This window comes from Homo sapiens, chromosome 13 (genome assembly GCF_000001405.40).
Source record: "Homo sapiens chromosome 13, GRCh38.p14 Primary Assembly".
Classification (NCBI taxonomy): domain Eukaryota; kingdom Metazoa; phylum Chordata; class Mammalia; order Primates; family Hominidae; genus Homo; species Homo sapiens.
In genome coordinates, this window is record NC_000013.11 from 79,955,923 (window position 1) to 79,969,851 (window position 13,929).

The 13,929-nt window shown below is 39.7% G+C and overlaps 1 annotated feature.

Moving 5' to 3' along the window:
• Positions 10,287–10,961: an enhancer, noted in NCBI's record as "OCT4-NANOG-H3K27ac hESC enhancer chr13:80540344-80541018 (GRCh37/hg19 assembly coordinates)". NCBI's record gives its function as "activates a minimal SCP1, AML or CMV promoter by ChIP-STARR-seq in naive H9 embryonic stem cells {active_cell/tissue: H9 hESC(naive)}" and the evidence as "EXISTENCE:reporter gene assay evidence [ECO:0000049][PMID:30033119]".

A 13,929-nucleotide genomic window follows, 5' to 3' on the forward strand; every position in this document is an offset into this window, starting at 1 on the left:
AATACCATTTGACCCAGCGATCCCATTACTGGGTATACATCCAAAGGATTATAAATCATGCTACTATAAAGACACATGCACACGTATGTTTATTGTGGCACTACTCACAATAGCAAAGACTTGGAACAAACCCAAATGTCCATCAATGATAGACTGGATTAAGAAAATGTGGCACATATATACCTTGGAATACTATGCAGCCATAAAAAAGATGAGTTCATGTCCTTTGTAGGGATGTGGATGAAGCTGGAAACCATCATTTTGAGCAAACTATCACAAGGACAGAAAACCAAACACTGCATGTTCTCACTCATAGGTGGGAATTGAACAATGGGAACACTTGGACACAGAGTGGGGAGCATCACACACTGGGGCCTGTCGTGGGGTGGCAGGATGGGGGAGGGATTGCATTAGGAGAAATATCTAATGTAAATGATGAGTTATTGAGTGCAGCAAACCAACATGGCACATGTATACATATGTAACAAACCTGCATGTTGTGCACATGTACCCTAGAACTTAAAGTATAATAATAAAAAAAAGATGATCCACGATGATCCACTTCCACTTATTGAATAGTGAATATATTTTCTCTTCCTTATGATTTTATTAATAACATTTCCTTTTTTTCTAGTTTATTTTACCCTAAGAATACAGTAAATAACACATACACAAAATATGTATTAATCAACTGTTCATGTTATTGGTAGAGCTTCAGGTTAACTGTAGGCTCTTTGTAATTAAGGTTTGGGGGAGTAAAAATTATACTCAGATTTTTGACCACACAGGTGATTGGCATCCCTAACCTTTATGTTGTTCCAGGGTCAACTCTACATATAATGAAGTATCCTGAATGGAATCCTGAAACAAAAAGGAAAAAACACATAAACAAAAAAACATTGTTTACTTTACTAAGGAAATTTATGTAAAACATAAACATTAATAAAAATGTATTAGTATTGATTTGTTAATTATAATGTGTCATACTGATGTAAGATGATAATAAGGGAAACTGAGTGTAGGAGATATAGGAATTCTCTGTACTATTTTCTCAATATTTCTAAATACTAGAACCTTTCTAAAAAAATGTTTGTTTTAAAAAATAGTTCACCAACACTTTAACAAATAATGTATTTCTGACATCTAGCAGGAAAAAATGAGTACTACTGACAGACCCTGTTGATATGAGCTTAATACATGGTGTAATAAAGGGCATTTAATATTACTGTTTTTCAGTTGGGATAAATAATAGGAAAAAATTAATAATATGAGTGTTCATAGACCTCTTTCTTCTTCCTCCAAATCCAATACCCCATGGAAGAAAAGACAAAGGATAAAAGTTTGTGCAGGCCAATTCTCACTACAGAGGAAGTCAGAGCTGGAGAACAGGGCTGTCCAGGACCTGTTCATGGTGGGAATGGTGTGTGCATGCAGCTGCACGTGTGTATGTGTGTGTGTGTGTGTGTGTGTGTGTGTGTTAGGGGTGTTGAGTAGGACCAATTGAAAGGTGTTCTATAGCAAAAGGCAGCACAGAGAAAACTTGAGAGATCAGAATGGTAAGAAGGAGAAATTGAGCTCTGTAGGTGAAGGAGAGTGAGTAGTTCCCAGGAATTTCAGACATCTGAATAAATTAGAATTTTTAAAAATCTATTGACTCAGGGGTGGCTGGCAAGATGACTGAATAGGAACAGCTCCAGTCTGCAGCTCCCAGTGAGATCAATGCAGAAAGTGGGTGATTTCTGCATTTCCAACTGAGGTACCTGGATCATCTCATTGGGACTGGTTAGACAGTGGGTGCAGCATCTGTAGGTGAAGGAGAGTGAGTAGTTCCCAGGAATTTCAGACATCTGAATAAATTAGAATTTTTAAAAATCTATTGACTCAGGGGTGGCTGGCAAGATGACTGAATAGGAACAGCTCCAGTCTGCAGCTCCCAGTGAGATCAATGCAGAAAGTGGGTGATTTCTGCATTTCCAACTGAGGTACCTGGATCATCTCATTGGGACTGGTTAGACAGTGGGTGCAGCCCATGGAGGGTGAGCAGAAGCAGGGTGGGGTGTCGCCTCACTCAGGAAGCTCAAGGGGTCAGGGAACTCCCTCCCCTCAGGGAAGCCATGAGGGTCTGTGCCATAAGAGATGGTGCTATCCAGCCCAGATACTATGCTTTTCCAATGGTCTTCACAACCGGCAGACAAGGAGATTCCCCTGGGTGCCTATATCACCAGGGCCCTGGGTTTCAAGCACAAAACTGGGTGGCCATTTGAGCAGACACCTAGCTAGCTGCAGGAGGTTTTTTTTTTTTTTTTTTTTTTTTGTACCCAGTAGCTCCTGGAATGCCAGTGAGACAGAACCATTCCCTCCCCTGGAAATGGGGCTGAAGCCAGGGAGCCAAGGGGTCTAGCTCAGCAGATCCCACCCCCATGGAGCCCAGCAAGCTAAGATCCACTGGCTTGAAATTCTTGCTGCCAGCACAGCAGTCTGAAGTTAACCTGGGATGCTCCAGCTTGGTTGGGGGAGGGGCGTCTGCCATTACTGAGGCTTGAGTAGGCAGTTTCCCCCTCACAGTGTAAACAAAGCCACTGGGAAGTTTGGACTGGGTGGAGCCCACCACAGCTCTGCAAAGCCACTGTAGACAGACTACCTCTCCAGATTCTTTCTTTCCGGGCAGGGCATCTCTGAAAGAAAGGCAGCAGCCTCAGTCAGGGGCTTATAGATAAAACTCCCATCTCCCTAGAACAGAGCACCTGGGGGAACGGGAGGCCATGGGTACAGCTTCAGCAGACTTAAACATTCCTGCCTGCCAGCTTTGAAGAGAGCAGCAGATCTCCCAGCATGGAGCTCGAGCTCTGCTAAGGGACAGACTGCCTCCTCAAGTGGGTCCCAGCAGGGGTTGACAGACACCTCATACAGGAGAGCTCCAGCTGGCATCTGGCAGGTGCCCCTCTGGGATGAAGCTTCCAGAGGAAGGAGCAGGCAGCAATCTTTGCTGTTCTGCAGACTTCACTGGTGATACCCAGGCAAATACAGTCTGGAGTGGACCTCCAGAAAATTCCAACAGACCTGTAGCAGAGGGGCCTGACTGTTAGAATGAAAACTAACAAAAAGAAAACAATAACATCAGCATCAACAAAAAGTATGCCCATGCAAAAACCCCATCTAAAGCTCACCAACTTCAAAGACCAAAGGTAGATAAATCCATGAAGATGAAGAAAGAGCAGTGCAAAAATGCTGAAAATTCCAAAAACCAGAATGCCTCTTCTCCTCCAAAGGATCACAAATCCTCACCAACAAGGGAACAAAACCAGATGGAGAATGAGTTTGACGAATTGACAGAAGTAGGCTTCAGAAGGTGGGTAATAACAAACACCTCTGAGCTAAAGGAGCATGTTCTATCCCAATGCAAGGAAGCTAAGAACCTTGATAAAAGGTTACAGGAACTGCTAACTAGAATAACCAGTTTAGAGAAGAATATAAATGACCCAATGGAGGTGATAAACACAACATGAGAACTTTGTGAAACATATACAGGTATCAATAGCTGATTCAATCAAGCGGAAGAAAAGATATCAGAGATTGAAGATCAACTTAATGAAATAAAGCATGAAGACAAGATTAGAGAAAAAAAAGGCCAGGCTCAGTGGCTTACATGAGTAATCCTAGCACTTTGGGAGGCTGAGGTGGGCGAATCACAAGGTCAGGATTTCAAGACCAGCCTGGCCAACATGGTGAAACCCCATCTCTACTAAAAATAAAAACAAAAATAAAATTAGCTGGGTGTGGTGGCAGGTGCCTGTGATCCCAGCTACTCGGGAGGCTGAAGCAGGAAAATCCCTTGAACCCAGGAAGTGGAGGTTGCAGAGAGCTGAGATCACGCCACTGCACTCCAGCCCAGGTGACAGTGCAAGACTCCATCTCATAAAAAAAAAAAAAAAAAAAAGAAGAAAAAGAAAAAGGAAAAAAGAGAAAAGGAATGAACAAGCTGCCAAGAAATATGGGACTATGTGAAAAGACCAAACCTACATTTGGTTGGTGTATCTGAAAGTGACAATGAGAATGGAACCAAGTTAGAAAACAAACTGTAAAATATTATCCAGGAGAACTTCCCCAATCTAGCAAAACAGGCCAACATTCAAATTCAGGAAATACAGAGAACACACCACAAAGATACTCCTCGAGAAGAGCCATCCCAAAACACATAGTCGTCGGCTTCACCAAAGTTGAAATGAAGGAAAAAGTGTTAAGGGCAGGCAGAGAAAGGTCAAGTTACCCACAAAGGGAAGCCCATCAGACTAATAGCAGATGTCTCAGCAGAAACCCTACAAGCCAGAAGAGTGGGTGCCAATATTCAATATTATTAAGGAAAAGAATTTTCAATCCATAATTTCATATCCAGCCAAACTAAGCTCCACAAGTGAAAGAAAAATAAAATCCTTTACAGACAAGCAAATGCTGAGGGAATTTGTCACCACCAGGCCTGTCTTGCAAGAGCTCCTGAAGGAAACACTAAATATGGAAAGAAAAAATTGGTATCAGCCACTGCAAAAACATACAAAAATGTAAAGACGTTTGAGACTATGAAGAAACTGCATCAACTAACAGGCAAAATAACCAGCTAGCATCATAATGACAGAATCAAATTCAAACATAACAATATTAACCCTAAATATAAATGGGCTAAATGCCCCAAGTAAAAGACAAAGGCTGACAAATTGGATGAAAAGTCAAGACCCATCGGTGTGCTGTTTTCAAAAGACCCATCTCACTTGCAAAGACACACATAGGCTCAAAATAAAAGGGATGGAGGAATATTTACCAAGAAAATGGAACGCAAAAAAAAAAAAAAAAGGAACAGTTGCAATCCTAGTCTCTCATAAAACAGACTTCAAACCAACAACAATCAAAAAAGACAAAGAAGGGCATTACATAATGGTAAAGGAATCAATGCAACAAAAAGAGCTATTCTAAATATATATCCATCCAATACAGGAGGACCCAGATTCATAAAACAAGTTCTTAGAGACCTACAAAGAGACTTAGACTCCCACACAATAATAGCAGGAAACTAACACCCCACTGTCAATTTTGGACAGATCAATGAGATGAGACAGAAAATTAACAAGGATATTCAGAACTTGAACTCAGCTTTGGACAAAGCAGACCTAATAGACATCTACAGAACTCTCCACCCCAAATCAGCAGAATATACCTTCTTCTCAGCACCACATAGCACTTATTCTAAAATTGACTACATAATTGGAAGTAAAACACTCCTCAGCAAATATAAAAGTACAGAAATCTTAACAAACAGTCTCTCAGACCACAGTGCAATCAAATTAGAACTCAGGATTAAGAAACCCACTAAAAACTGCACAACTATATGGAAACTGAACAACCTGCTCCTGAATGACTACTATGTAAACAACAAATTAAGACAAAATAAATAAGTTCTTTGAAACCAATGAGAACAAAGACACAATGTACCAGAATATCTGGGACACAGCTAAACCAGTGTTTAGATGAAAATTTATAGCACTAAATACCCACAGAAGAAGGCGGGAAAGATCTAAAATCAATACCCTAACATCACAATTAAAAGAACTGGAGAAGCAACAGCAAACAAATGCAAAAAGTAGCAGAAAGCAAGAAATCACTAAGATCAGAGCAAAACTGAAGGAGATAGAGACACAAAAAACCCTTCAAAAAAATCGATGAATCCAGGAGCTGGTTTTTTGAAAAGATTAACAAAATGGAAAGACTACTAGCCAGACTTACAAAGAAGAAAAGAGAGGAGAATCAAATAGACACAATAAAAAATGATAAAGGGGATATCACCACTGATCCCACAGAAACACAAACTACCATCAAAGAATACTATAAACACCTCTATGCAAATAAACTAGAAAATCTAGAAGAAATTAATAAATTCCTGGACATGTACACTCTCCAAAGACTAAACCAGGAAGAAGTCAAATCCCTGAATAGACCAATAACAAGTTCTGAAATTGAGGCAGTAATTAATAGCCTACCAACCAAAAAAAAGTCCAGGATCAGACTGATTCATAGCCGAATTCTACTAGTGGTACAAAGAGGAGCTGGTACCATTCCTTCTGAAACTATTCCAAACAACTGAAAAAGAGGGACTCCTCCCTAACTCATTTTATGAGGCCAGCATCCTGATACCAAAACCTGGCAGAGACACAACAAAAAAAGAAAATTTCAGGCCAATATCCCTGATGAACATCGATGTGACAATCCTCAATGAAATACTGGCAAACTGAATCCACCAGCACATCAAAAAGCTTATCCACCACGATCAAGTCAGCTTCAGCCCTGGGATGCAAGGCTGGTTCAACATACAAAACATACAACATACACAAATCAATAAATGTAATCCATCACATAAAGAGAACCAATGACAAAAAAAAACCCACAGGATTATCTAAATAGATGCAGAAAAAGCCTTCGATAAAATTCAACAGCCCTGCATGCTAAAAACACTCAATAAACTAGGTATTGGTGGAACATATCTTAAAATAATAAAAGCTATTCATGACAAACCCACAGCCAATATCATACTGAATGGGCAAAAGCTGGAAGCATTCCCTTTGAAAACTGGCACAAGACAAGGATGTCCTCTCTCACCACTCCTATTCAACATAGTATTGGAAGTTCTGGCCAGGGCAATCAGGCAAAGAAAGAAGTAAAGGATATTCAAATAGGAAGAGAGGAAATCAAATTTTCTCTGCTTGCAGATGACATGATTGTATATTTAGTCTCAGCCCAAAACCCCATTGTCTCAGCCCTAAAACTCCTTAAGCTGATAAGCAACTTCAGCAAAGTCTCAGGATACAAAATCAATGTGCAAAAATCACAAGGATTTCTATACACCAATAATAGACAAAAAGAGAGCCAAATCATGAGTGAACTCCCATTCGCAATTACTACAAAGAGAGTAAAATACCTAGGAATCCAACTTACAAGGGATGTGAAGGACCTCTTCAAGGAGAACTACAAACCACTGCTCGGGGAAATAAGAGAGGACACAAACAAATGGAAAAACATTCCATGCTAATGGATAGGAAGAATCAATATCGTGAAAATGGCCATACTGACCAAAGTAACTTATAAATTTAATGCTCTTCCCATCATGCTACCATTGACTTTCTTAACATAATTAGAAAAAACTACTTTAAATTTCACATGGAACCAAAACAGAGCCCGCATAGCCAAGACACTGCAAGGAAAAAGAACAAAGCTAGAGGCATCATGCTACCTGACTTCAAACTATACTACAAGGCTACAGTAACCAAAACAGCATGGTACTGGTACCAAAACAGATATATAGACCAATGGAACAGAATAGAGGCCTCAGAAATAACACCAAACATCTACAATCATCTGATTTTGACAAACCCGACAAAAACAAGAAATGGGGAAAGGATTCCCTATTTAATAAACGGTGTTGGGAAAACTGGCCATATGCAGAAAACTGAAACTGGACCCCTTTCTTACACCTTATACAAAAATTAACTCAAGATGGATTAAAGACTGCAATGTAAAACCTAAAACCATAAAATCCCTAGAAGAAACCTAGGCAGTACCATTCAGGACATAGGCATGGGCAAAGACTTCATGACTAAAACACCAAAAGCAGTTGCAACAATAGCCAAAATTGACAAATGGGATCTAATTAAACTAAAGAGCTTCTGCACAGCAAAAGAAACTATCATCAGAGTGAACAGGCAGCATACAGAATGGAAGAAAATTTTTGCAATCTATGCATCTGACAAAGGGCTAATATCCAGAATCTACAAGAAACTTAAACAAATTTACAAGAAAAAAACAATCCCATCAAAAAGTGAACGAAGGATATGAACAGACACTTCTCAAAAGAAGACATTTATGTGGCCAACAAACATATGAAGAAAAGCTCATCATCATCACTGGTCATTAGAGAAATGCAAATCAAAACCACAATGAGGTACCGTCTCACACCAGTTAGAATGGCAATCATTAAAACGTCAGGAAACAACAGATGCTAGAGAGGTTGTGGAGAAATAGGAATGGTTTTACACTGTTAGTGGGAGTGTAAATTAGTTCAAACATCATGGAAGACAATGTGGTGATTCCTCAAGGATCTAGAACCACAAATACCATCTGACCCAGCAATCCAATTACTGAGTATATACCAAAAGTATTATAAGTCATTCTACTATAAAGACACATGCACACATGTTTATTGCAGCACAATTCACAATATCAAAGACTTGGAACCAACCCAAATGCCCATCAGTGACAGACTGGATAAAGAAACTGTTGCACATATACACCATGGAATACTATGCAGCCATAAAAAAGCATGAGTTCATGTCCTTTGGAGGGACATGGATGAAGCTGGAAACCATCATTCTCAGCAAACTAACACAGGAACAGAAAACCAAACACCACATGTTCTCACTCATAAGTGAGAGGTGAACAATGAAAACACATGGACACAGGGAGGGGAACATCCCACACCAGTGCCTGTCGTTGGGTGGAAGGCTGGAGGAAGGACAGCATTAGGAGAAATACCTAATGTAGATGATGGGTTGATGGGTGCAGCAAACCACCATGGCACATGTATACCTATGTAACAAACCTGCACGTTCTGCACATGTATCCCAGTACTTAAAGTATAATAATTACAAAAAAATCGGCCAGGCGCGGTGGCTCACGCCTGTAATCCCAGCACTTTGGGAGGCCGAGGCGGGCGGATCACGAGGTCAGGAGATCGAGACCATCCCGGCTAAAACGGTGAAACCCCGTCTCTACTAAAAATACAAAAAATTAGCCGGGCGTAGTGGCGGGCGCCTGTAGTCCCAGCCACTTGGGAGGCTGAGGCAGGAGAATGGCGTGAACCCGGGAGGCGGAGCTTGCAGCGAGCCGAGATCCCGCCACTGCACTCCAGCCTGGGCGACAGAGCGAGACTCCATCTCAAAAAAAAAAAAAAAAAAAAAAAAAAAAATTCTATTGACTCACATAAGGGATTGAAAGAGAGTTAAAAGTAACGAATGGGCTGGGTGCGGTGGCTCACACCTGTAATCCCAGCACTTTGGGAGACCAAGGTGGGCGGATCACGAGGTCAGGAGATTGAGACCATCCTGGCTAACACGGTGAAACCCCGTCTCTACTAAAAAAATACAAAACAATTAGCCAGGCGTGGTGGTGGGTGCCTGTAGTCCCAGCTACTCAGGAGGCTGAGGCAGGAGAATGGCGTGAACCCGGGAGGCGGAGCTTGCAGTAAGCCGAGATGGCGCCACTGCACTCCAGCCTGGGTGACAGAGGGAGACTCCATCTCAAAAAAAAAAAAAAAAAAAAAAAAGTAACGAATGAATACTGTTGGACTGGTTGAGCTATTCTTTAAATGCAATGTGCTCTGACACAGGACAATGTGGGTTTATGTATTTATAACCATTGTAATGTTACATACATACACATATATTTCTGTTTTAAATGCCATTTTAAAATAGAAAATAATCACATGACAACAATGTTGACAGAAAATAAAATGCTGCATAGAGTTCAATTGCATTCTCAAATGTAAATATATGTAGAATAGTTACAAAGTATAACAGAATAGTGAGGTGATATAATCTTCTTTAAAATGTATATTTAAGTATAATAGCCATTATTTTCATGTAGAATTTCTTTGAATAATCAGAATAATTTCTTTTCTAATTCCTTTACATATGATATCCATACACTAGTAACTAAATTCAGAAATTTCCAAGGTCTACATTGCAACTCTGATTGGGTCTTCTTTCTGATAAAAGAAACACAACAAATATGGGTTTGAACTCTTACATTAAATGCTTAATTTTTCTTTAAAAAAAACCACACTTAATGTAAATTTGATATGTACTTATTTTGCTCACTAATAATCTCAATTTTTCTAGGATACCAAGATAAAATTCTTCTCATTTCTAATAAATTTTATAGTGATTTCTTCACTGCAGCTATTAATTCCCATAAAAGCACATACAATTATGATCACAGGAGAAAATGTAAGAAAACATTTCAAAGTACTCCAAGCAGATGGCTAATTATTGAGATATTATGTTGATAAAAGATGAATTATAAATCAAAAGTTGATAAGTAGTATAATACATGGAATACAAGGTTCATTTATAAATACTCACCACTCAAACCCAGTACTATCTTTTTTTTGGATGCCACTCTATACTGCATAAAACACAAAGAAAGACAAGAAAAATAAAACAGGAATGACACTTCCCTTAAGCAACTTACGTTACGCAATAAGGCATATACAAAACCAGTTGCAGTGTATAGTGACGATGATGTACAATATCAGAGGTGGGATAAATTACTTTAGTAAAGATAAGCAATGCTTGAGTTAGACCTAAATGTAGTAGGACTTAAGTAGGATTTAAACTTGCAGCTTTGAAAAAGTAGGGATTTCTAGGCAGAGCTAACAACATAAGCAAGGCCATGAAGGAAGAAAAGTGTGGCAAATGCAGTAAATAATAAAACAACTGAAGTGTAACAAGGGAAGATATGTGCATATGATGAATAAGATAAGGAGGTCACTAAATCCATAGTTAAGTAGACATTCTATTGAATTGACTGATTCACCAATTGTCAGTCATTTATGCAAGCATTTCTTGACTGCCAACTTTATGCTGAATCACTGAGTATCCCTTGAGCCCTCAAGACATTGCCCAGCAAGCTGTTCCCAAAGTTTAGTTTATTTCTTCACAAAAGGTTTTGAGGGTGCATGAAAAGCTAATCAAGACAAAGTAAACAAAGATATTAACACTTCAAGGCTTCTTGCTGCCTTCTGTCTTCCCTAACATAACAGGCAGCTTGATTTGTTTGTCAGGGGTTTCCCTCCCAGGGAAGCAACACGATGAAACCCCAGGCCATACAAGGCGTGAACCAGCCTAGCTGACTGGAGCCTCTTTATGTGTGGTAGGAGGCAATACAGCAACAGGCTTCAAGGCATGAGCTCTGAATTCAAGTTTGAGTTCAAATCCTGGCTGTCATTTACTAGCTGCATGGTCTTCAACATGTCAAGTAATGTCTGTGTCTGTTTCCTCATCTGTAATATAAATAAAGTGCTTAAAACAGTGTTTGAGACATGGTAAGTATTTAAATTATAGCTGCATGAGACCAATCTGGTCCAATCTTATATAACAGAATTGTAAGTTGTTTTTGTGTGCCATGGACCCTCTGGTCACATAATCTGAGCATGCTCAGATTAACCACACCTGCAACCACAGGGGGAATCTAAGTTCTGGGACGCAGGAGCAGGGTCTGAATTAAGAAACAGAGACCCTAGGGCAGGATTTAGGAGTCAATCAGATTGAGTTCTGGCATCACTTCGTTGCAAGATCCAATCAGATCACACCTCATTAGCCTATGCTTATGTGATGGTTAATACTGAGTGTCAACTTGATTGGATTGAAGGATGCAAAGTATTGATCCTAGGTGTGTCTGTGATGATATTGCCAAAGGAGATTAACATTTGAGTCAGTGGGCTGGGAAAGGCAGACCCACCCTTAATCCGGATGGGCACCATCTAATCAGCCGCCAGTGCAGCTAGAATATAAAGCAGGCAGAAAAATGTGAAAAGGCTAGACTGGCTTAGCCTCCCAGCCTACATCTTTCTCCCTTGCTGGATGCTGCCTGCCCTTGAACATCTGACTCCAAGTTCTTCAGCTTTTTGAGACTTGACTGGCTTCTTTGCTCGTCAGCTTGCAGATGGCCTATTGTGGGACTTTGTGATTGTGTGAGTTAATACTACTTAATAAACTTCCCTTTATATACATATCTATCCTATCAGTTCTGTCCCTCTAGAGAATCCTAATACAGTTTTTATAGCTTGATCCAGCCCCCAGCTGGGGAGACCCTGTTTTGGGAACCAGCCCCCGTGTTCACCTTAGTTGTTACAAGTATTAACATTCCCTTGCTAAATCCTTCTTGACTGTGGTCATTGGGTTGATGTCTGCCAAGCTACCAAACCCACCTATTGGGTGCAGAACAAAATGTCAACTATTACGACAGTTTGGCATAAAAAATAATGATCTAAACAATGAGAGACAGCTCCCTGTTAATAGTCTTGGGGCTTCTTTAAAGATAGCAGAGTTTCTCAGCACCTGGAGAATTGTGCTCTGGTTTGCTTCCTTCTGTTCAAGACTATTGTCCTTGCATGAAGAGCTGTGTATTGCTTTTTCTAACCATTTGGCTTATGCCATGCCTGTTTTCATCTAGTCCTGACATGTAGGTTGGGCAAATTGATGCTTATAGATTTGAAGATACATATCTAATCCAAGGCTGATATGCATTTAATGTTGTTTAATATAAACATAAAAGAGTTGAGAATTTTAAGGCAATATCAACTTTTCCAAGAAGAAAATTGATCAGTTAGTTCTCCAGTATTCCAATTTTACTCTATTTTCAGGTAATGTAACATTTCAGATCCAGTCTCACTGTGTTTTGATTTTTAGTTTTTTTGGGACAGGGTCTCTCTGTGTCATCCAGGCTGGAGTGCAGTGTCATGATCGTGGCTCACTGCAGCCTCAATTTCCTGAGCTCAAGTGATCCTCCCACCATAGCCTCCTGAGTAGCTGGGACCACAGGCATGCATCACCATGCCTGCCTAATTTTTTAACTTTGGTTTTGTAGAGATGGGTGTCTCCTTATATTTTATTTTAAATTTTATTATAGATTCAGGGAGTACGTGTGCAGGTTTGTAACATGGATATATTGCATAATGCTGGAGTTTGCGCTTCTACTGAACCCCAAATAGTAAATATAGTAGCCAATAGATTGTTTTTCAACCCTCACCCACTCCCTTATACTCCTCTTTTGGAATCATCAGTGTCTATTATTTCTATCTTTAAGTCCATTGTGTCCCATTGTTTAACTCTTACTTATAAGTGAGAACACACGATATTTGAATATCAGTTTCTGAGTTATTTCACTAATGGGCTTCCAGTTCCCTTCATGCTGCTGCAAAAGACATGATTTCATTCCTTTTTATAGCTGTGTAGTATTCCATGGTGTATATATACCATATTTTCTTCATCCAATAATCCACTGATGTGTGCTTAGGTTGATTCCATGACTTTGTTATTGTGAATAGTGCTGTGATAAACATATGAATGCAGGTGTCTTTTTTATATAATGATTTATTTTCCTTTGGGTAGATACCCAGTAGTGGGATTCGCAGGTCAAATGATAGTTCTATTTTTAGTTCTTTGAGAAATCCCCATACTCTTTTCCACAGGGCTTAGCCTAATCTACATTCCAGCGTGTAAGCGTTTCCTTTCCTCCACATCCTAGCTGACACCTGTTATGTTTTGACTTTTTAATAACACCCATTCTAACTGGCATGAGATGGTACTTTCTTGTGGTTTTAATTTGCATTTTTCTGATGATTAGTGATGTTGAGCATTTTTTAATATGTTTCTTGGCTGTTTGTATGTCTTCTTTTGAGAAGTGTCTGTTTATGTCCTTTGCCTACTTTTTAAAAAAACTTTTATTTTAAGTTCAGGGGTACATGTGCTGGATGTACAGATTTGTTACATAGGTAAATGTGTCATAGAGGTTTGTTGTACAGATTATTTCATCATCCAGGTATTAAGCCTAGTATCTGTTATTTTTCTTGATCCTCTCCCTCCTCCCACCCTCCGCCCTCCAGTAGGCCCCAGTGTGTGTTGTTTCCATCTAAGTGTCCATGTGTTCTCATTATTTAGCTCCCACTTGTAAGTGAGAACATGCAATATTTGGTTTTCTCTTCCTGCATTAGTTTGCTAAGGATAATGACCTCCAGCTCCATTCAAGGACATGAAGTCTTTTTTTTATTGCTGCATAGTATTCTATGGTGTATATTTACCACAATTTCTTTATCCATCTATCATTGATGGG